Raw genomic sequence first — 24369 nt, 5'->3', positions numbered from 1 at the left:
CTGTAATCCCAGCACTTTGGGAGGCCAAGGCGGGCGGATCATGAGGTCAAGAGTTTGACAACAGCTTGGCCAACATAGTGAAACCCCGTCTCCACTAAAAATACAAAAAATTAGCTGGGCATGGTGGCGGGCGCCTGTAATCCCAGCTACTTGGGAGGCTGAGGCAGGAGAATCTCTTGATCCCGGGAGGCGGAGGTTGCAATGAGCCAAGATCATGCCACTACACTCCAGCCTGGGTGACAGTGTGAGACTCTGTCTCAAAAAAATATATAATAAAGTATAAATATGATTGACTCATTACCTAGGTGAACTGATACCATGTGACCCAAAGCCCCCACCGTAAGTCACATTTTTGGTTTTTCTGGAGTGGCTAGCCCTTCTCACCCTAGGACTAGACTGTACAGTTCTGATCAGCCTCTTCTCCACCTCCAAAATTGTATTGTTAGGTTATCCAGTATGACCCAAGGCCCACCAGGCAAACAGACAGTCCTATCAGGCATAACATTCCAGGGGCAAATAGATTACCTCCCAGAAGCCAGGGGCAAAGCTAGACCTTCTGTTTGAGCAGAGCAAAATTCATTTTTTTTTTTCTTAGAGACAGGAACTCTCTCTGATGCCCAGGCTAGTGTGCAGTGGCATGATCATAGCTCACTGTAACCTTGAACTCCTGGGCTCAAGTGATCCTCCCACCTCAGCTTCCCAAATAGCTGGGACTACAAGTGTGTACCACCAGGCCTTGCTAATTGTTTTTTCTTTTTGTTTTGTATGTATGTTTTTTGTTTGTTTGTTTGTTTTGTTTTGTTTTGTTTTGTTTTGTGGAAACGGGGTCTCACTTATGATGCCCAGGCTGGTCTCAAACTCCTGGCCTTAAGCAGTCTTCCTACCTTGGCTTCCCAAAGTGTTGGGATTACAGATCTGAGCCACTGCACTTGGCCCAATATTCTTTACATAGGGACTCAGTGGTAAGCAAACCAGCAATGGTTTTTGTCCTCATAAAATTGATAATCTGGCTGGGCACAGTGGCTCACACCTGTTTCCCAGTGATTTGGGAGGTTCAAATGGGAGGATCACTTGAGCCCAGGAGTTTGAGACCAAGCCTAGCTAACATAAGCAAGACCCTATCTCTAAAAATTAAAAAAAAATTTTTTAAAGACTTACATTCTCACTTTTTTTTTTTTTTTGAGACATAGTCTTGCTCTCTTGCCCAGTCTGGAGTGCAGTGGTGCAATCTTGGCTCACAGCAACCTCTGCCTCCCGGGTAGCTGGGATTACAGGCATGTGCCACTACGCCCAGCTAATTTTTTGTATTTTTAGTAGAATGGGGTTTCACCATGTTGGCCAGGAAGGTCTTGAACTCCTGGCCTCAAGTGATCCACACTCCTTAGCCTCCCAGAGTGCTGGGATTACAGGTATGAACTACCACACCTGGCCTACAGTCTAACTTTGAATTTTTTTGTAGTGTGAGCAAAAACATAAAACATTTGTTAAAAGATTAGATAACCCTTGGGTTTTGAAATTATTTTCCGGCTGGGCGCGGTGGCTCCCAGCACTTTGGGAGGCTGAGGCAGGCGGATCACCTGAGGTCGGGAGTTCCAGACCAGGCTGACCAACATGGAGAAACCCCATCTCTACTAAAAATACAAAATTAGCTGGGCGTGGTGGCGCATGCCTGTAATCCCAGCTACTCGGGAGGCTGAGGCAGGAGAATCACTTGAACCCAGGAGGTAGAGGTTGCGGTGAGCTGAGATTGCGCCACTGCACTCCAGCCTGGGCAAAAAGAGCAAAACTCTGTCTCAAACAAAACAAAACAAAAAAATTATTTTCCTCTTGTGGTGAGGTGGAAGTAGCCTAGTACTGAAGAAGAGGTGTGATTTGGCTTCTCATGGGCAAGTTTTTCCAAGTCTTTGTACCCTCAATTTTCCTTAGCTATTATTGAGCGAGGATAATGATGAGTTTTATAGTTCTAAATGTAAATATTAGGGCAAAAAGGGTTAAAATTTCATGATTTAAGCTTCTATCTCATGATGCTAGGAAAAAGAACCCAAAGGAAGTAGGAGAGAACTAATAGCGTTAAGAACAGAAACTAATGAAAAAGGCTGGGCGCGGTGGCTCACGCTTGTAACCCCAGCACTTTGGGAGGCCAAGGTGAGCGGATCATCTGAGGTCAGGAGTTTGAGACCAGCCTGGCCAACATGGTGAAACCCCATCTCTACTGAAAATACAAAAATTAGCTGGGTGTGGTGGCCGGTGCCTGTGATGTCAGCTACTCAGGAGGCCGAGGCAGGAGAATCGCTTGAACTCAGGAGACAGAGGATGCAGTGAGCCAAGATCGCACCATTGCACTCCAGCCTGGACAAGATCGAAACTGTCTCAAAAAAAAAAAAAACAAAAAAAAACACTTTTTTCATTAAATAAGAATTATGCAATTATTCAGCTTTTTTCCTAAGGTAGTTTTTTTCAGAGACAAAGTCTTAGCCAATGCATATGCGGTCCTCTAAGACCACGTCCCTCCGAGATTAGCTGCAAGGGGTCCACCTTGCAGCTTGGCCTCCTTGAGGCTGTGCTTTACTGTCGTGAGCCTTCAGAGAATCTCCTGAGTGCCTCATTTTGTTGGCGTTGTCCCTCAGTGACCCTTTAGAACTTGATTTATCTTGTATCTCTGGTACTGTCTAGAAGGTGTGTAAAGCCCTCATCATGTTCTGTTTCAGTGTTTGAGCAACACTGCACCACTGACTGACTACTTTCTCAAAGATGAGTATGAAGCCGAAATCAACAGAGACAACCCTCTGGGGATGAAAGGGGAAATTGCAGAAGCCTATGCTGAACTCATTAAGCAGATGTGGTCTGGAAGGGACGCCCATGTGGCACCTCGCATGTTCAAAGTAGGTAGACATATATATATATGGGTTGGGTATCCCTGTATATAGATGCCTGGGACCAGAAATGTTTCGGGACTTCAGGTTTTTTAGGATTTTTTTTTATGGTATTTACATTATGCTTACTAGTTCAGCATCCCCATTCCAAAATCTAAAATGTTTCAGTGAGCATTTCCTTTGAATATCATGTCAGTGTTAGGTTATGGATCTTTAAGCATTTGGATTTCAGATTTTTGGATAAGGGATACTCTCCCGTACTTCCTTTTTCCCACTTTGGGGAGAGTGGTTTAGTGTTGTTATGAGGCATTCCTTTCGTTGCATTTTGGGATTAAGATGGGATCTGGGCCAGGCGCTGTGGCTCACGCCTGTAATCCCAGCACTTTGGGAGGCTGAGGCGGGCGGATCACAAGGTCAGGAGATTGAGACCATCCTGGCTAACATGGTGAAACCCCGTCTCTACTAAAAATACATAAAAAAAAAATTAGCTAGGTGTGATGGCAGGCGCCTGTAGTCCCAGCTACTCGGGAGGCTGGGGAAGGAGAATGGCGTGAACCCGGGAGGCAGAGCTTGCAGTGAGCCGAGATTGCGCCTCTGCACTCCAGCCTGGGTGACAGAACGAGACTCTGTCTCAAAGAAAAAACAACAACAACAACAAAAAAGTCCAGGCGTGGTGGCTCATTCCTGTAATCCCAGCACTTTGGGAGGCTGAGGCGGGCAGATCACGAGGTCAGGAGTTCGAGATCAGCCTGACCAACATAGTGAAACCCCGTCTCTACCAAAAATACAAAAATTAGCCAGGCGTGGTGGTGCGCACCTGTAATTCCAGCTACTCAGGATGCTGAGGCAGGAGAATTGCTTGAACCTGGGAGGTGGAGGGTGCAGTGAGCCGAGATCACGCCACTGCACTCCAGCCTGAGCGACAGAGTGAGACTCTGTCTCAACAACAACAACAACAACAACAACAAAATTAGCTGGACATGGTGATGTACCTGTAGTCCCGGCTACCAGGGAGGCTGAGGTGGGAGAATTACTTAAGCCTGGGAGGTCAAGGCTGCAGTGAGCTGTGATTGTGCCACTGTACCCAGCCTTGGCGACAGAGACCCTGTCTCTAAAAAAAATGAAAATTCAGTTTAATTTCTAGTATCATCTGAAGGCTGTTTCCAGGTTCTCTGAGCCTGGATTCTACAGGCTTCGTGGTTTGAGTTGGGACCCCCTAAGTCAGGAATTGGGCTCACATTCTTGGAAGGTGATGTGAGGGGCAGTTATCACTGGGGTCCCTCAGCCAGGAAGGTTTAAGGAGAAGACATGGATACACTCGGAGCAACTTGGGCTTTCCATTGCCCCAACTGCTTTTTCCTGCTGAGGTGGAGGTGCTTTGCTCCCTCCCGCTCAGCAGATTTAAGCTGAAATCTGAAAGATCCTATTTAGCCTGTACCACTGGGATTCATGGAGCTTCATGAAGCATATGATAAGAAAAGACATGCATATTTATGATTCAGAGAGGAAAAAAAATAGCACCTTAGCTCAGTGAGAAAACTAAAATCTCAGGTGGTTTGTTGAAATTGAAAACTAATTATCTTTCATCCCCTTGGTCACATGAATCCCTGGGAAATATATAAATGACTGTTCACATACTAAGTCACAAAGAAACTAGAATTGGGTGGCAACGGCTGGGTGCGGTGCCTCACACCTGTAATCCCAGCCCATGGGGAGGCCAAGGTGGGTGGATCACTTGAGGTCAGGAGTTCAAGACCAGCCTGGCCAATATTGTGAAACCCCATCTCTACTAAAAATACAAAAATTAGCCAGGCGTGGTGGCATATGCCTGTAATCCCAGCAACTCGGGAGGCCAAGGCATGAGAATTGCTTGAACCTGGGAGGCGGAGGTTGCAGTGAGCTGAGATTGCGCCACTGCACTCCAGCCTGGCAACAGAGTGAGACCCTGTCCCAGAAAAAAAAATAAAAAAGAATTGGGTGGCAACACACTGTGCTGAAGCTAATGTAAATAAACAACTGGAAGGTAGTGTTTAGGGGTATTAGGGAAGTGTGGAGCTTCCTCAGTGATGGATGTGTTATATATCTGCACTGTGTTTTGGTAGCTACCAGCTCAAGCACCTCTGAGCACTTGAGATGTGGTTCATTTGACCGAGGAACTGAATTTTTAATGGTTTTTAATTGTAATTAATGTAAATTTCAATTGCCATATGTGGCTAGTGGCTATGGTATTAGAGAACAGGTGTAGAACAGTGGTTCTCCTTTTTTTTTTTTTTTTTTTTTTTTTTGAGACAGCCTTGCTATGTCGCCCAGGCTGGAGCGTACTGGCACAATTTCGGCTCACTGCAGCCTCCGCCTCCTGGGTTCAAGTGATTCTCCTGCCTCAGCCTCCTGCGTAGCTGGGATTACAGGTGTGCACCACCATGCCCAGCTAATTTTTGTATTTTTAGTAGAGACGGGGTTTCACCATGTTGGCCAGGCTGGTCTTGAACTCCCAACCTCAGGTGATCTGCCTGCCTCAGCCTTCCAAAATTCTGGGATCATAGGCATGAGCCACCGTGCCTGGCTGGTTCTCCATAGGATGCATCACAATCTCTGGGAGTGCTTAATACAACACAGACTGCTAGACCCATCCCCAGAGTTTCTGATTGAATAGGTTTGGTGTGGGGCCTGAGAATGTGCTTTTCTACTAAGCTCCCAGGTGATACTAATGCTGCGACTGGGGACCATACTCTCAGAATAACTGGTGGAGAGTATTACTGGACAGACAGTATTTAGGGACCTGAGGGCTGTTATGTACAGGAGGATTCCTCCAGCTGATGAAAGTATTGTTTGTAATGTCCTTATGGAGTTTAAGACTCTGAACCAAAGAAGGACATGTTGGAGAGGGATTCATGTCAGTACTTGGGTGTGGTTACTCAGGGTACTCCACCCTTCCTCCTTAGGACTTAGGGCAGTGGCCCAGGTTCCAGGTTCATCCTCCTGGCTCTCTGATCTAGGCCTTCTTTCTGGTGGGAACCACTGGCCTCCTGTAGGCTCTTCAGGAGTTAATTGGACTACTCAACCAAGTGTTCTCTCTCACTGCCCCAGCTAACTCCTCAGAGCTATTTTTGATGGCAATTCTTTTTTGATTTAACTAGTTCTTTACGTATTATGCCTTCTGATACAGTTGCTTTTGTTGTAGACTCAAGTAGGACGTTTTGCTCCTCAATTTTCTGGCTACCAGCAACAAGATTCTCAGGAGCTGCTGGCCTTTCTTCTAGATGGATTGCATGAAGATCTGAACCGGGTAAAGAAAAAGCCCTACTTGGAGCTGAAGGATGCCAATGGGCGGCCAGATGCGGTATGCCATTAATGATGTCTGAATGATAATATGCCAAAGAAGCTGCCTCCTATTGAGAGTGCAGGGATATTCTTCTGGTCTTTGAGTGTTGTTGCCAGGGCCCTGGTTGCTTCTCACTGTAGCTAGTTATAGGGATATGGTCTCTGGTCAGAAAGGGGCTAACTGTAGTTACTGCTTTTTTTTTTTTTTTTTTTAAATAGAGACAGAAACTTGCTGTGTTGTCTAGGCTGGTCTCCAGCTCCTGAGCTCAAGCAGTCTTCTCACCTCAGCCTCCCAAAGTGCTGGGATTACAACAGGCGTGAGGCACTGTACCCTAGTTACTCCTAAGGCTTCCTCTTGGGCTTTTTCAAATTAGAGTGAGCTTGTTTGATATTTCACTGGTGAACTAGGGACTAAGAACACTCTGAAAACTGTAAAGTACCTATAGTGAGGACCCCTAAGATTGTTATTGCTCACAATAAAATCCATCCATGATTACTTAATTTGTTATTAGTATCATTAGGACATTTATACCTTTTGCCTTGATTATCTGATCAGTGCAAGAGGATTTTAGTATTTCAGCTACCCTATCACATTGGGATAATCAATATGAATGCTTTAAAGTAAAATTTAGATCTTCTTAGAAAAACTATGAGTTAGCTGAGCTGTAGTATAGATAAAAACTTTATTTTTAAAATTTATTTATTTATTTTTTTTGAGATGGAGTCTCACTCTGTTGCCCAGGCTGGAGTGCAATGACGTGATCTTGGCTCACTGCAACCTCCACCTCCCGGGTTCAAGCGATTCTCCTGTCTCAGCCTCTCAAGTAGCTGGCACTACAGCCACGTGCCACCATGCCCAGCAAATTTTTGTATTTTTAGTAGAGAGGGGGTTTCACCATGTTGGCCAGGCTGATATTGAACTCCTGACCTCTGGTGATCCGCCTGCTTCGGCCTCCCAAAGTGCTGGGATTTCAGGCGTCAGCCACCGTGCCCCGCCAAAAACCTTACTTTAGATCACTGGAAACATATAGGGGGGCTTTCCTTGCCCTGGCCATGTCTCTGTACCGATAGTGTTCTCCGGGCTTCTGTTTCTTATCAGGACACACAGACCCCTAGTTTCCAATAGGTCCTATGTTGCCAACCTTATTAAGTGTGAGGATTAGGGCGAGGCGCAGTGGCTTTCCCCTGCGGTTCCAGCACTTTGGAGGCTGAGGTGGGAGCATCACTTGAGGCCAGGAGCTCTAGAACTGTCTGGTCAACATAGTAAGACCCCCATCCCTACCAAACCTAAAAAAATTAGCCAGGCATGGTGATGCATGCCTATAGTCCTAGCTACTTGGGAGTCTGAGGCAGGAAGATCGCTTTGAGTCCGGGAGGTTGAGGCTGTAGTGAACCATGATCACGCCAGCCTGAGCGACAGAGCAAGACCATGTCTCAATCAATCAATATAATATATATTTGAAATATGTATATATATAAACATATATGTGAAATATATATATGTGTGTTGGGGTGGGGATTGGGCGTAGAGCTGGCATGTGGTATGAGTATGATACACTAAGAGTAGTCCTGGCCTTGTTTGTCCTGGATCAAGCTCTTGGCTGTACAGATTGCCACCTGATTCATCTCCAGGTTTGCTGTGAGTCATTCTGGATGCAGGGGCAAGGGGCTGAGAGGTGTTGAGAATGTCCTGTTTATCCCTTTGACGCAGGTGGTGGCAAAGGAAGCCTGGGAGAATCACAGGTTGAGGAATGATTCTGTGATTGTGGATACTTTCCATGGCCTCTTCAAATCTACTTTGGTTTGCCCAGAATGTGCTAAGGTTTCTGTGACCTTTGACCCATTTTGCTATCTAACGCTGCCACTGCCCTTGAAGAAAGATCGAGTTATGGAGGTTTTCCTGGTTCCTGCTGACCCTCACTGCAGACCTACTCAGGTGACAGAATCCACACCCTTATGGCACCCCTCACTGCAAGTGGTCTCCAGATCCCAGTGGGACTGCTCCTATCTGCTGCATTGGCTGCCTCTGAGTCCCCTTGGTACTTGCCTGGGTATGGGCCCTTGGCCTCCATCAGACCTTTGTCTAATCCCATATCATTTAAGGCCTATTGTGAAGGTCTTTGCAGCTTCTTTGCTTCTCTGTCACTTTTTTTTTTTTTGAGACAGAGTCGCTCTGTTGCCCATGCTGGAGTGAAGTGGCATGATCTCAGCTCACTGTAACGTCTTCCTCCCAGGTTCAAGCGATTCTCCTACCTCAGCCACTCAGTAGCCGGGATTACAGGCGTGTACCACCACGCTCAGCTAATTTTTGTATTTTTAGTAGAGACATAGTAGAGACAGGATGTTACCTTGTTGGCCAGAACTCCTGACCTCAAGTAATCTGCCCATCTTGGCCTCCCAAAGTGTTGGGATTACAGGCGTGAGCCACCGCACCCGGCCTCTGTCACTTTTTTGGCCACACTTCATTCACGCGACTAAAGTAACCTGATCTACTAAGTGGTTCTTGAATCTGAATGTTGGGGAACCAGAAGCACGGTTCTTTTCGTACTCAGATATACCCTCACATAACCTAGGACAGCCTGTACAGAAGATTAGGCCAGATGAGAGGTGTGAGCAGCAGGTCTTAGTGTCTTACCCTGCTGATGGCTCACTGAGTAATTGTATTGCTTAGCCTTCTGGTTTTGGTTTCTTTGTCTCTAAAGAAAGTTGAGGGCCGGGCGCGGTGGCTCACGCCTGTAATCCCAGCACTTTGGGAGGCCGAGGCGGGCAGATCACGAGGTCAGGAGATCCAGACCATCCTGGCTAACACGGTGAAACCCCGTCTCTACTAAAAATACAAAAAATTAGCCAGGCATGGTGGCGGGCGCCTGTAGTCCCAGCTACTCGGGCAGCTGAGGCAGGAGAATGGCGTGAACCCGGGAGGCGGAGCTTGCAGCGAGCCAAGATTGCGCCACTGCACTCCAGCCTGGGCGACAGAGCGAGACTCCGTCTCAAAAAAAAAAAAAAGTTGAGGCAGGCTGGGCACGGTGGCTTACCCCTGTAATCCCAGCACTTCAGGAGGCCGAGGCGGGCAGATCACGAGGTCAGGAGTTCGAGACCACCCTGACCAACATGGTGAAACCCTGTCTGTACTAAAAATACAAAAATTATCCAGGCGTGGTGGTGCGCGCCTGTAATCCCAGCTACTCAGGAGGCTGAGGCAGGAGAATCGCTTGAACCCGGGAGGTGGAGGTTGCAGTGAGCCAAGATCGCGTCACTGCGCTCCAGCTTGTGTGACAGAGCAAGACTGTGTCTCAGAAAAAAAAGAAAAAAGAAAAAAAAGAAAGTTGAGGCCGGGCTTGGTGGCCAACACCTGTAATCCCAGCACTTTGGGATGCTGAGGCGGGAGGATTGCTCGAGGCCAGGAGTTTGAGACCCTGTCTCTACAAAAAATAAAAATAAAATAAAAAGGTAGGACCAGATGGCAATTTGAATTTGTATAATTTCAGCAGTTCTTCAGAAAGTACTCTAAAGAATTAAGAATAAAATGAAGCAATGTTTGGAAGAGAAAGAGATGGCCTAGCCCCCATGCTGCTGCCTGTGTATTGAGGAGGATGCTGACATAGAGGTCCTGCTTATTTGCTCTGCTTCTGACTCATCTGTACCCTGACCTCACCATACATTGTTTCTAGAAGGGCTCCTCTGCCCCTAGTGATGCCTGCTTCTCCTAATGCATTTCGCACCCTTTGTGGGGCACCCCTGTGACCTTGACCATCTCTGTCTTGCAGTACCGTGTGACTGTGCCGCTGATGGGGGCTGTGTCCGACCTGTGCGAGGCTCTCTCCAGGCTGTCTGGCATTGCTGCAGAAAATGTAAGGCGGGGTGATCAGTGGCACTCGGTCTATTTGGGATACTTCATAGCATTTGGAGTTTACTTTCAACCTTGAAGCCACTTTTTGGGGTTGTTGTTATTGCCAGCACAAATGTGATTATTTGTGTGTGTCTGGATGCCTCACTCACTATGCACATTGTGACTGAGACTGTCCCTTCCAGCTCCAGGAAACACTATCTTTCCTTCATTGGGTTCACACTAGCCGTGGTCAAAGGACCAGGAGTAGGGCTCTGCTGTCAGATCTGTGCACTGAGGGTGGCATAGAGACTGCAGACTATGGAATACTCCAGAGGCTCTGGACAACTGCTGGTTTCTGGTTAGCACCACACTCCTCGCCCTTCCTGCCAGTCGAGGGCAGATGCTACCAGCATGTTCAATTCTGATGGCAGCCATGCTGCTCCCCCTTGGGCCTTGGCCCTCAGCTCTCTGGGGCTGTTTGTGTGGTGGTTTCTCTAGAGGCAACATTTGAGTATGAGTATTTTTTTTTTCATTTGTTTCTGGGTTTTAAGCAGTTAGTAGGGGCACTCTTAGCCATTCTGTGGTCTTTCTGTTACTGTTCATTCTTAGATGGTGGTCGCAGATGTGTATAATCACCGATTCCACAAAATTTTCCAAATGGATGAAGGTTTAAACCACATCATGCCTCGGGATGACATTTTCGTGTGAGTACTCAGCAGTTTCTGCTGCAGGTCAGGTCAGAGGACACATTCTAGAGACTTTGCTGCATTCATATCTCCAGAACAAAAATGTGGGCAGTCATTGCTCATGTGGATTGGCCCTGACCCCTGGGTGCAAGAGATGGGTATTGAGGGCATCGTGGGCAGCCATCAGTGCTCAACCCCTCCTGCCCTGCAGAGCTAAACATTCTGATAACTCTCCTCAGCACAGCCACAGCCTTTTTTCAACAGTTTTGCCTATGAAGAAGGCCAAATCACTGCTCCTACAGATGGTCCTACCATCAGAGATGCCTTTCTTAAGAGGAATCCCAGCTGTGTGATGGGAAGATGGTAGTAGGGGTGTGGTACGGAAGGATCTTGTCCTTTCTCTGCCACAGGCTGTAGCTTCTCAGCGAGTACCATGATACTACCATCCCCAATGCAGAAATGACAGGGCTGATTTAAACAGCTGTTTTCAGCTCAAACATTCTGTAAGCTCTGAGACTGAGTTTCTTCATCTCTGTGAGGACAATACAAAGGCCTCCTCTGCCTTCCCACATGCTGCTTCATGGCTGCTCTGTGTAATTGTGTGTGTGTCCCTCTTCCAGGCACAGTGGTGTAATAACTTGCCGGCTGCTCCCATACATGAACTTGCCTGCTGCTCCCAGGCAGCCACTTGCCCAGGAAGTATGGAGCACAGCCGTACTGTCCCTCCCTCTTTACCTCTCACTCAGGAACTTGCCTCTGCTGAGAAAGGGTTTTAGGATTTTGTTTTGGTTTTTGTTTTTGGCTGAGGAATTCAGTATGTAAAGGAGATAGTTCCTTCCCTTTACATTTTTGGGCCTATGACTTCTAGATCTCTCTAAAAGGAATAGTTCCTAGCCACACCCAAGATCTATTTCTGTTCTCACTTGCACAGACACAGCCAAGAGCTGACACTGTGCCAAGGGCTAGAACATGGGAAAGTCCACTTTCACATATAACCCCAAGCCCTTAACATGGTCTCTGTAAATTCCAGAAAGTAGTGTTTTCACACACCTGAGCTGAAAGGAACTGGAGGATTACCCTGTGGGGAGCTTAGCAGACCACCAACAAAGGAATTTTCAGAGGGCCTATGGGCCAACCATTGGAAAAACAAATTCTTTTATAGATGAATTTGAATTGACAATTGTTTTATGAAAGCAATAGTAGCATCTGGTATTTTTATTTTATTTTATTTTATTTTTTTAGACGGAGTCTCGCTCTGTCTCCCAGGCAGGAGTGCAGTGGCGCAATCTCGGCTCACTGCAAGCTCTGCCTCCCGGGTTCATGCCATTTTTCTGCCTCAGCCTCCCGAGTAGCTGGGACTACAGGCACCCGCCACCACGCCTGGCTCATTTTTGGTATTTTTAGTAGAGCCAGGGCTTCACCGTGTTAGCCAGGATGGTCTCAATCTCCTGACCTCGTGATCCACCCGCCTTGGCCTCCCAAAGTGCTGGGATTACAGGCGTGAGCCACTGTGCTCGGCCAGCATCTGGTATTTTTTATTTTTTATTTATTTATGTTTTTGAGATAGAGTCTTGCTGTGTCACCCAGGCTGGAGTACAATGGTGTGATCGTGGCTCACTGCAAGCTCCGCCTCCCAGGTTCATGCCATTCTGCCTCAGCCTCCTGAGTAGCTGGGACTACAGGCGCGTGCCACCACACCTGGCCAATTTTTTGTATTTTAAGTAGAGATGGGGTTTCACTGTGTTAGTTAGGGTGGTCTCGATCTCCTGACCTCGTAATCCGTCCCCCTCGGCCTCCCAAAGTGCTGGGATTACAGGTGTGAGCCACTGTGCCCGGCCTGCATCTGCTACTTTTTAATGTGTTGTACACTGTGCTACTAAATTATTTAATTCTTACCACACCTTTTAAAGTGGGTAATCCCATTGTCCACCGAATAAATAGACTAAGAAGTTAGGTGCTTATTACTAGCAGCCAGAAAATGGCAATGTGGACCTGGAACCTGGGGCAGGTGCACTCCAAGGCCTGGTTCTTTACCACTATGCTGGACCACAGTATTTACTCGAGAGCACACCTTGGACATTTTTATGTATTAGAAATTCCTCCTTCATAAACTTCAGTCAGGACTGTTTGCTAGGCATTTGGGGAGGGGGGGGTGTGTGTGTGTGTGTGTGTGCGCGCGCGCGCGCACACGTGCATATGTTTAGTTTCAAAATTTGAATCAGTAAGTTTGTGTCTCCCCCTATAGGAAGAGGGAAAGACTACAGTCGGTTGCCAGCAATTTTGGTAACATCTGTTCCAGGATAAAACATCTATAAATCTCCTCAATCCCATGTATTCACTAAGTAAGACACATTTTTCAAAATCATTGATTTGTATCTAGCAGTTTCTTTGGTTATCTCTGATGTTTTTCAGAATTAGATACGATTCTTTCACTTCAGTGTTTTTGAACAAAGATGACAATTACTTTTATAAATTTGCTTGCTCATTTGGAAAAAAAGAGTTTGGCTAATATCCTAGGTGTACATCTTTGTACAATATTTGGTCTTATTAAAGGGCAGGGCACTCAATGCTTTTTTTTTTTTTTTTTTTTTTTTTTTTTGAGATGGAGTCTCGCTCTGTTGCCCAGTCTGGAGTGCAGTGACAAGATCTTGACTCACTACAAGCTCCGCCTCCTGGGTTCACACCATTCTCCTGCCTCAGCCTCCCGAGTAGGTGGGACTGCAGGTGCCCACCACCATGCCCGTCTAATTGTTTGTATTTTTAGAAGAGATGGGGTTTCACCGTGTTAGCCAGGATGGTCTCAATCTCCTGACCTCGTGATCCGCCCGCCTTGGCCTCCCAAAGTGCTGGGATTACAGGCGTGAGCCACCGCGCCCAGCCAACTCAATACATTTTTTAAAGATGAGCTCTTTGATGACAAAAGATGAACTTGGTGGCTGGACCCAGCTGTGTGCCTTTGTGTTCAGAGTGATGATCTGAATGATGGCTGTTATCTGTGTTGGGTCCCAGTTGAAGGACCACAGAGTTTGAGGCCGTGGTTGGAAGAAGGAGTATCACGGTTAGCCCTCAGCCCCAGGTTGTATAGGTTCACATTGTGCTGACAATGGTCCTTCTAGGGATTCCTGACTCAACCTCTAGAAACGTCTTGGCAATAGTTATAGCCACCTTTTCTACTCAAATATGCTCTGTCCCAGTAATCATAGCCCTGGCCACCACATAGCTTCAGCTCAGATCTCTGTTGTTCACAAGGACCTACTGCTAAAAGTGCCCTCTTGTGTGATTGACGCAGGTACGAGGTCTGCAGCACTTCCGTGGATGGCTCGGAATGTGTCACGCTTCCAGTCTACTTCAGGGAGAGGAAGTCCAGGCCATCAAGCACTTCCTCCGCATCAGCGCTATATGGGCAGCCACTATTGCTTTCTGTCCCCAAGCACAAGTTAACCCTTGAGTCTTTGTACCAGGCTGTTTGTGATCGTATCAGGTTGGTGGCAGGAATGTGATTTGGTTGTTATCTGAGATGAAGATATACCCAGTAATAGTAGTGGCAACTCCTGCCAAGTGGCTGTGTTGATCCTACATGCTCACCTCTGTAAGAAATGCATTTGCCGGGTGCAGTGGCTCATGCCTGTACTCCCAGCACTTTGGAAGGCCAAGGCGGGCAGATCACCTGAGGTCAGGAGTTTGAGACCAGCCTGGCCAAGATGGTGAAATCCCGTCTCTACTAAAAATATAAAATTAGCCAGGCATGCTGGTGGGTGCCTGTAATCCCAGCTGCTCGGGATGCTGAGGCAGGAGAATCGCTTGATTCTTGATTCTCCTGGGAGCTAGAGGCTGCAGTGAGCTGAGATCGCGCCACTGCATTCCAGCCTGGGTGACAGAGTGAGACTCCATCTCAAAAAAAAAAAAAAAAATGCACTTGTGCCAGCCCCTGGATGGGCCAGGGCAGGTGCTATTGGGATGAGCCACCTGGCACATCTTAGGTACCGTGATCCTAGGAGTCCAGTCCTCTTAGAATCATGTTAGGGAGGCTAGCGCTTTGATGGCATTTGTATTTTATTTCTGAAGTGTTCCACTATCGTTCTGAAGCTGGAAATTAGGATTATTGGGAAATACCTTCAAAACTGATGGTGCCACATGACTTTCACATAAGACTCGAGACAAACTTTCTTAAGAGTCTTCATTGGCTAATTTCTTGTGGGTTTTTTTTTTTTCCTTCCGAGATGGAATCTTGCTCTCTCGCCCAGGCTGGAATGCAGTGGCACGATCTCGGCTCACTGCACCCTCTACCTCCCAGGTTCAAGTGATTCTGCTGCCTCAGCCTCCCAAGTAGCTGGGATTACAGGCATGTGCCACCACGCCCGGCTAAGTTTTGTGTGTGTATGTTTTTGTTGTTGTTGTTGTTGTTTGTTTGTTTGTTTGTTTTTTTGAGATGGAGTTTCACTCTGTTGCCCAGGCTGGAGTGCAGTGGCACAATCTCGGCTCACTGCAACCCTCACCTCCCAGGTTCAAGTGATTTCCAGCTAATTTTTGTATTTTTAGTAGAGAGGAGGTTTCACCGTGTTGGCCAGGCTAGTCTCAAACTCCTGACCTCAAGTGACACTCCCATCTCAGCCTCCCAGAGTGCTAGGATTACAGGCATGAGCCACCGTGCCTGGCCAAACTTTTGTATTTTTAGTAGAGATGGGGTTTCACCATGTTGGCCAGACTGGTCTGGAAATCCTGACCTCAGGTGATTGCCCACCTCGGCCTCCCAAAGTGCCGGCATTACAGGTGTGAGCCACCATGCCTGGCCATTTGTGTTTTTAATTTCTTAAAATATTGAGCCACTGTGTTATTTTATTTTATTTTATTTATTTTTTGAGACAGAGTTGCTCTCTGCCCAGGCTGGAGTGCCTAGTGGCATGATCTCGGCTCACTGCAACCTCTGCCTCCCACGTTCAAGTAATTCTCCTGCCTCAGCCTCCTGAGTAGCTGGGATTACAGGCATGTGCCACCATGCCCAGCTAATTTTTTTAGTTTTACTAGAGATGGGGTTTCACCATGTTGGCCAGGCTGGTCTCGAACTCCTGACCTCAGGTGATCCACCTGCCTTGGCTTCCCAATGTGCTGGGATTAGCCACCACACCTGGCCCAGTGGATAATTCTAAAGCACTTCTATTTACATAAATTGCTTTGTCAGTAGCTATCATCCATATAAATTATGAACTACTTCTTAGCCGCATGGTGGAAAAAATAGATAAATGTTACAACTAACAATCTTTTTTTTCTTCTCTTTTTCTCTTTTTGAAGCCGCTATGTGAAACAGCCTTTACCTGATGAGTTTGGCAGCTCACCCTTGGAGCCAGGGGCCTGCAATGGCTCCAGGAACAGCTGTGAAGGTGAGTATGCACCATGCTCTGTGGCTGTGACTGACCAAATACCTCCTGATTTCCCTCTTCTTCTAAAGGTGTTACACACATGGGAGAAGGGGGTTGGGACTGGGTTGGGGCTCTGCCTACAGCAGCAGAGTTAGGAGTTAGGTCTACAACATTCTACTCTGCCAGTGCCTGTTGTCCAACTTTGCTACCTTGTGGAATCTTCCTTTTTTTTTTTTTTTTTTCCAGATAGGGGTCTCATTCCTGTCACCCAGGCTGGAATGTGGTGGTGCAATCATGGCTCACTGTTACTTCAGACTCTTGGGCTTAAGTGATTGTCCCACCTCAGCCTCCAGAGTAGCTGGGACTACAGGTGCATGCCACGACACCCAGCTAATTTTTAAATTTTTTGTGAAGACCAGGGGTTGGCCGGGCGTGGTGGCTCACGCCTGTAATCCCAGCACTTTGGGAGTCCGAGGAGGGCGGATCACGAGGTCAGGAGATCGAGACCATTCTGGCTAACACAGTGAAACCCCGTCTCTACTAAAAATACAAAAAATTAGCCGGACATGGTGGCGGGCACCTATAGTCCCAGCTACTTGGGAGGCAGGAGAATGGCGTGAACCCGGGAGGTAGAGCTTGCAGTGAGCCAAGATCGCGCCACTGCACTCCAGCCTGGGCGACAGAGTGAAACTCTGTCTCAAAAAAAGAAAAAAAAAAGGACCAGGGGTCTTGCCATGTTGCTCAGGCTGGTCTTGAACTCCTGACCTGAAGCAATACTCCTGCCTTAGCCTCCCAGAGGGCTAGGATTACAGGTGTGAGCCACCCCACCTGACATGTCACTCTTCTTTTTGGGACTTACGTGACTCAGTGGCTTTCTGTAAAACCATATATGTCTTTCAAGCTAGTGCTGTAAATTTTTTCTTTTCTTTTTCTTTCTTTCTTTTTTTTTTTTTTTTTGAGACGGAATCTTGCTCTGTCGCCCATGCAGGAGCGCAGTGGCGCGATCTTGGCTCACTGCAACCTTTGCCTCCTGGGTTCAAGCAACTCTCTACCTCAGCCTCCCAAGTAGCAGGGATTACAGGCGCATGCCACCATGCCTGGCTAATTTTTGTATTTTTAGTAGAGATGGGTTTTCACCATCTTGGCCAGGCTGGTCTTGAACTCCTGACCTCATGATTCACCTGCCTCAGCCTCCCAAAATGCTGGGATTACAGGTGTGAGCCACTGTGCCCAGCTTTTTTTTTTTTTTTTAAGAGTAGGGTCTTGAGGCTGGGTGCGGTGACTCACACCTGTAATCCCAGCACTTTGGGAGGCTGAGGTGGGTGGATCACGAGGTCAGGAGATCGAAACTATCCTGGCTAACACAGTGAAACCCCATCTCTGCTAAAAATACAAAAAATTAGGCGTGGTGGTGGGCACCTGTAGTCTCAGCTACTTGGGAGGCTGAGGCAGGAGAATGGCGTGAACCCGGGAGGCAGAGCTTTCAGTGAGCCAAGATCACGCCACTGCACTCCAGCCTGGGCGACAGATTGAGACTCCGTCTCCAAAAAAAAAGCGTAGGGTCTTGATTATCACCCAGTCTGGAGTGCAGTGGTTCAATCATGGTTTACTGCAGCCTCAACCTGCCAGGCTCAGGCTATCCTTCCACCTTGCCCTCGTGAAGTGCTGGGATTACAGGTGTGAGCCACTGCGCCCAGCACATAAATTCTCAGTTGCAGACGGGTGCGATGGCTCATGCCTGTAATCCCAGCACTTTGGGAGGCCAAGGCAGGCAGATCATCTGAGGTCAGGAGTTCGAGACTAGCCTGGCCAACACGGTGAAACCCTGTCTCTACTAAAAAATACAAAATTAGCCAGGCATGGCAGTGTGTGCCTGTAATCCCAGCTACTTGGGAGGCTGAAGCACGACAATCTCTTGAACCCAGGAAGCGGAGGTTGCAGTGAGCTGAGATTGCATCATTGCACTCCAGCCTGGACAACAGAACAACATTCCATCTCAAACAAAAACAAAAACCAGCAAAAACAAAAAATTATCAGTTGCAAAACCAAATGTCCAGATTCCTCCAAGACATGCAGTCCTAGAAAGTGAGAACTGACTTTAACTAATTAATTTATTTCTATATGGAGTCCACTTTGTTGGCCAGGCTGGAGTGCAGTGGCACAATCTTGGCTTACTGCAGCCTCAGTCTCTTGGGTTCAGGGGATTCTCCCACCTCAGCCTCCCAAGTAGTTGGTACTATAGGTGTGCGCCACCACACTTGGCTAGTTTTGTATTTTTAGTAGAGACGGGGTGTCTCCATCATGGCGAGTCTGGTCTCGAACTCCTGACCTCAAGTGATCTGCTCACCTTCGCCTTCCAAAGTGCTGGGGTTACAGGCCTGAGGCTGTCATCAAGAGATACTCCAAATTATTTTTGGTATTTTAGGGTTGAATATGGCTGGAATACAGTGGCGCAATCATGGCTCACTGCAGCCTTGACCTCCTGGGCTCAAGCAATCCTCCCACCTCATCCACCTGAGTAGCCAGGACTACAGGAATGTGTCACCATACCCAGCTAATTTCTTTTTCTTTTTTTTTCTTTTTTGTGGAGACAAGCAAGGTTTTCCCATGTTCCCCAGGCTGGTCTTGAACTCCTGAGTTCAAGCAATCCACCCACCTTGGCCTCCCAGAGTGCTGGGATCATAGGCGTGAGCCGCCACACATGGCCAATATTTGGATTCTCTTTTTTTTTTGAGACTGAGTCTCACTCTGTCACCCAGGCTGTAGTGCAATGGTGGGATTATAGGCGCCCACCACCATGCCCGGCTAATTTTTGTATTTTTAGTAGAGATGGGGTTTCACCATCTTGGCCAGGCTGGTCTCGAATTCCTGACCTCAGGTGATCCATACACCTCGGCTTCCCAAAGTGCTGGGATCACAGGCATGAGCTACTGCACCCGGCCTCAATATTTGGCTTCTTATTCTTGCCCGAAATGTTATGTTCATTTCCCGCTAGGGATAAGTAGGAATACATTTTGTTTATAGGTCCAGCAGCAGAGGTGTTGGAATGGTAATAGGTCTCTGAACAGCCCCTGGGTGATCTGTGGTACTCTGGAAGCTAAGGCACTCTGATCCCCAGCTCAAGGTGTGGGGTGGACTTGAACAAGTCACTTCATCCCTCTGAACCTTGGTTTACCTGTCTGCAAAAGGATATCTGCTTCACAGATCTGCAATTACAATTTGAGGTCATGCGATTAAAGGACAGGGCACATGAAAGGCACTCAATCAGTAACAACATCTTGTGAGTGTGTTTGCTATTTTTACTCCTAACCCTGTTTCTTAGGCATGTCCGGGACAATGAGTGTCACCTTTTGAATCCTACAGGTGAATCTTGGTGTGTAGACTTCAGACCTTGTTTAAGCACAAAGGTTTTTTTGTTTGTTTGTTTTCTTTTGCTCTGTCGCCCAGGCTGGAGTGCAGTGGCACAATCTCAGCTCACGGCAACCTCCGTTCCCTGGGTTCAAGCAATCCTCCCACCTCAGCCTTTTGAGTAGCTGGGAACTACAGATGTGTGCCACCACGCCCAGCTAATTTTTCTTTTTTTTGTAGAGACAGGGTTTCTGCATGTTTCCCAGGCTTGTCTCGAACTCCTGGGCTCAAGCAATCCATCTGCCTCAACCTCCCAACGTGCTGGGATCATAGGCGTGAGCCATTGTGCCCGGCATAACCACAAAGCATTTTTAACCTCTACTGACATGGCTCCTTGTTAGGCCTGTGACTGCTGACCTTTAGGTCCCCTGCTGATTTTCTGAGTGACTTTGGGTAGCTGCTTTCAGTGGATCCTGCTTTTTCTTTTTCTTTTCTTTTCTTTTTTTTGAGGTGGAGTTTTGCTCTTGTTGCCCAGGCTGGAATACAATGGCGTGATCTCAGCTCACTGCAACCTCCGCCTCCCAGGTTCAAGTGATTCTCCTGCCTCAGCCTCCCGAGTAGCTGGGATTACAGGCACCTGACACCATGCCTGGCTAATTTTTGTATTTTTAGTAGAGATGGGGTTTCACCATGTTGCTCAGGCTGGTCTTAAACTCCTGACCTCAGGTGATCCACCTGCGTCAGCCTCCCAAGGTGCTGGGATCATAGGCTGCTTTTTTTCTCATCCTGTGAAATACAGTCCATGGCATTTAATTCTGACTGCATTGGCCCAAGGCTCCTGGCATTATCCAGGTAACTGGCAGCCAGTGGCATGGGCCAGGACAGAGTTCTTATAAGTATGAGGGCACTGCTCATTTCCTGAGTGGGATAGAGGCAGTTTTGGGTTCTGCCCTTCTCCGAGAGGCAGCAGGCAGGGCAGGTTTTTTCTTGCCAGTGTAGGAGGGGGACAGGCTTATTGTGTGTAAAGGGACAGTGTCATATCTCAGGAATTAAGCAAGTTCGGAAAGGAACCTCCATGAGAGCCAGGGGTTGTGGGCTCTTAAATAGCACATTCTCCTTTTCTCAGAATTTCCATTTTTACTGATCAAGTATGTAGATTCTTTGTTTTAAATCTGCTCTTCTCTGTTACTTTTACACCACCTTTTGGAGTGGTCCCCATCTTTGCTAAAGTTACTTATTTGATACTTTAACTTTCACTTTAGACTGTGTGCTCCCCTTATGGAGCCCTGGAACCTAGCATGGTACCTGCACCTAAGAGACCTTTAGTAAATACTAAAGGAAAATTCATGATAGGTTTTTTTCTGGAGGAACGGAATACTTAATATTTGTGTTTATTATAATATTTGAAAATAGCTGGGCCTGGTGGCTGACGCCTGTAATCCCATCATTTTGGGAGGCCGAGAGGGCAGATCACTTTAGGGCTGGAGTTCGAGACCTGCTTGGCCAACATGGAGAAACCCCGTCTCTACTAAAAATACAAAAATTAGCTGGGCGTGGTGGTGCGTGCCTGTAATCACAGCTATTCAGGAGGCTGAGGCAGCAGAATTGCTTGAACCTGGGAGGCGGAGGTGGCAGTGAGCCGAGATTGCACCAATGTACTCTAGCCTGGGCAACAGAGTGAGACTCCACTTCAAAAAAAAAGGCAATTGACCTTTAAGTTGTGTTTCTTGGCCGGGTGCAGTGGCTCGCACCTGTAATCCCAGTACTTTGGGAAGCCGGGGCGGGCGGATCACGAGGTCAGGAGCTAGAGACCATCCTGGTGAACATGGTGAACCCTTGTCTCTACTAAAAATACAAAAAAGTAGCCGGGTGTGGTAGCACGCACCTGTAGTCCCAGCTACTTGGGAGGCTGAGGCAGGAGAATTGCTTGAACCCAGAAGGCGGAGGTTGCAGTGAGCTGAGATCACGCCATTGCATTCCAGCCTGGACGAAAGAGTGAGACTCCGTCTCAAAAAATAAATAAATAAATAGGGCCAGGTGCAGTGGCTCACGTCTGTAATCCTAGCACTTTGGGAGGCCAAGGCCGGTGGATCATCTGAGGTCAGGAGTTCGAGACCAGCCTGACCAACATGGTGAAACCCCGTCTCTACTAAAAAGATATAAAAATTAGCTGGGCATGGTGGCGCACACCTGTAATCCCTGCTACTCAGGAGGCTGAGGTAGGAGAATCGCTTGAACCTGGGAGGTGAAGGTTGCAGTGAGCCGAGATCGTGCCATTGCACTCTAGCCTGGGTGACAGAGTGAGACTCCATCTCAGATAGATAGATAGATAGATAGATAGATAGATAGATAGATAGATAGATAGAGTGGCTAGAGTGAGACTGTCTCGGATGGATAGATGGATGGATGATGGATGGATGGATGGAAGGAATGGATGGAATGGAAGATAGATAGTGTTTCTTACCAAGCTGTCTTCTTGAGTGTTGAGTGTGCGTTTCATTTAAGCCCTTTTCTCTCTGTGGGCCTAATGGTGAAGTTGCAAGAGTGAGAGACCATGTGCTGTGATGGCCAGTAGACAGGATGGCAGGGCTTCTGAATCTCATTGTGCCTGCAGGTGGCTCATTTAAGCTCTCTGAGACTGCCTCCTCATCGTGGAATAGCAGTGCCCAGTCTGCCTGTCTTGCAAGGGTGTGGTGAGAGTCACATGTGAATTCAAGTTAAATGCAAAGGAATAGATTTAACTTCATATACACAGAACAAAATCTGGAAGGAAACACCATAGTTATGTATTAAATAAAATTTTTAACATTGAAATGGTAGGAAATTATATACATATTGTTTTCCATTTATGTGCCAGGAGAAGATGAGGAAGAAATGGAGCATCAGGAAGAAGGCAAAGAGCAGCTTTCAGAAACAGAAGGCAGTGGGGAAGATGAGCCAGGAAATGACCCCAGTGAGACCACCCAAAAGAAGATCAAAGGCCAGCCCTGCCCAAAAAGGCTTTTTACCTTCAGTCTTGTGAACTCCTATGGAACAGCTGACATAAATTCACTTGCAGCTGATGGAAAACTACTTAAACTCAACTGTAAGCACTTTTTCTGACCTTTCAAGCTGGGCTTTAGGGTCTTAGGATCTGTTTGAAAATCCTTACACTTGACACTCACTGCATTGGGCTTTCACAGTCTCTGTGCCTCCAGGAGCAGCACTTGTATGACCCTTGGCTTGAAGCCCCCTAAGGACTGTTTCAGAGATCCCCCTACCTTTCAGGCTTTTCTCCTCAGTCCTCGATGACCTCAGAGGAAAGTAGGTCTCCCTCCACTCCCTCTGCGGGAATTTGCTGTGGGTCGATAACCTTTCCTGTGGCCACCCTTGGCAGCAACATTTCCCCATACTTGCTCACTTATAAGAATAAGCGCATATTTATTTTGTTCATTAATACTCACGAAATGTACCCATTCAGAGGATGGTCATGGATTTTGTAGCCTCACCGACACATGGAGGTTGTAATGGGGACTGCTCTACAGACAGGAAGAGGCATTCTGAGGGGTTGTGTGAAAAGCACAATTGGCCAGTGAGGACACCTTTGCCAGTTAGGGGAGGAGAAGCATCTCTGTCTTTCAGCTCCCTTCCCACCTCACCCTCCTGAGTAGCTGAGACTACAGGTGTGCACCACCACACCCAGCTAATATTTGTAGTTTGTGTAGAGACAGGGTCTCACTATGTTGCCCAGGCTGGAATGCCTTGCAAATTCTAGCCATCTTCTCAAACTCCAGTCTTTGACTTTTCAGCTTAATCTTCCCCTCTCTCCCCTATGCTAAGTCCTGGAAACTGCCTGCAGGCAATAAGCTAGGGCGATGTAGGGGTCTCTTTTTTTTTTTCCTTCTGTCAGGGATCTCCTTCCTGCTCTATCCAATGTCTGAAAACAATTGTTTCATCCATTTTGTCAGTTTTTTTGTGGTTTATGGTAGGATGATAAATCTGGTCCCTATTACTCCCATCTTGACCTGTGCCCTTTCAGAATTCTCCACAGTTAGTTCCTTCGTAGCTTATCTGTATCACTGAGGAAGTCTTTGCCAAAGGCTTTTTGGGGCTGGGGGTCAGAAGGGCTGGCCCATTGCAGAGCATTGCTCTTGACACTGGCTGCTGATGGGGGAGAAGGTGTTGATGGTGTGGCCTGAGTGTGGTCCTTCTCACTCCTGTCACTTGGAGAGCCTTTCCTGTTGCTTGCCATTCCATAACAAGTGACATTTTGGTCCTCCTCAGCTCGATCTACACTGGCCATGGATTGGGACAGTGAAACTCGGAGACTTTACTATGATGAGCAAGAATCTGAGGTAGGTCCCTCGGGGTTCGTGGTCGGTGGTGTCTGCTGGTTTCTGCTCTGGATGTGGACTGCGATCACTTTCACCAGTTGGACAGCAATTTAGCAAGTTATATTTAAGACTGAGAAGGAAAAGCACTTCAAGATTTTGTCATTTTATATTCAGAGGCTCTAGAAAGTGTACTACATTCCAGGTGGGAGAGCCTCTGTAGGCCTTCATGTCTTAATGCAGTAAGATCTCTTTCTCCAGCAGAACTGAGTGCTTTGATTCCCATAGGCCTACGAGAAGCATGTGAGCATGTTGCAGCCTCAGAAGAAGAAGAAGACCACAGTGGCCCTGAGAGACTGCATCGAGCTCTTCACCACCATGGAGACCCTTGGGGAGCATGACCCCTGGTACGCAGCTCCTCACTGTCTGGGCAGAGGCCCCATGCACCCCAGGACTCAGATCTGCTAGGGCCATCTGTGCACATAAACCCCTTTGTATTTGGATGTGTCACTTCTTTATATAGCTAACCCTACAACATAATCCTCTGTGAGTTGAGGTTTCCAAGGAAAGCCGTCACCCCATTTTGGAAGACAGGTCCCTGGCCAGAAGCAGTAGTGTTGAGTGCTGACCGAGAGGATGGCAGCT

General features: G+C 47.4%; 1 protein-coding gene across 2 annotated transcripts in view, besides 1 other annotated feature; it reads left to right on the top strand.

Moving 5' to 3' along the window:
* The window catches only part of USP4 (ubiquitin specific peptidase 4), a 62910-nt gene that overhangs the window by 31457 nt on the left and 7084 nt on the right, over positions 1-24369 (top strand). For both annotated transcript variants that reach the window (NM_199443.3, NM_003363.4), the window contains 10 exons: positions 2709-2882; positions 6055-6213; positions 7906-8130; positions 9962-10045; positions 10633-10727; positions 13999-14190; positions 15999-16087; positions 22272-22499; positions 23678-23748; positions 24013-24131. In NM_199443.3, coding sequence (NP_955475.1) covers positions 2709-2882; positions 6055-6213; positions 7906-8130; positions 9962-10045; positions 10633-10727; positions 13999-14190; positions 15999-16087; positions 22272-22499; positions 23678-23748; positions 24013-24131 — 1436 coding nt within the window. The remainder of the gene's footprint in view (positions 1-2708; positions 2883-6054; positions 6214-7905; positions 8131-9961; positions 10046-10632; positions 10728-13998; positions 14191-15998; positions 16088-22271; positions 22500-23677; positions 23749-24012; positions 24132-24369) is intronic.
* Positions 4693-4742: a silencer, noted in NCBI's record as "silent region_14360". NCBI's record gives its function as "represses an Ori minimal core promoter by ATAC-STARR-seq in GM12878 lymphoblastoid cells {active_cell/tissue: GM12878}" and the evidence as "EXISTENCE:reporter gene assay evidence [ECO:0000049][PMID:35858748]".

Source organism: Homo sapiens, chromosome 3 (assembly GCF_000001405.40).
Source record: "Homo sapiens chromosome 3, GRCh38.p14 Primary Assembly".
Classification (NCBI taxonomy): domain Eukaryota; kingdom Metazoa; phylum Chordata; class Mammalia; order Primates; family Hominidae; genus Homo; species Homo sapiens.
The sequence above is the reverse complement of the archived record's forward strand: the minus strand, read 5'-3'. Positions and strand labels throughout refer to the sequence as shown.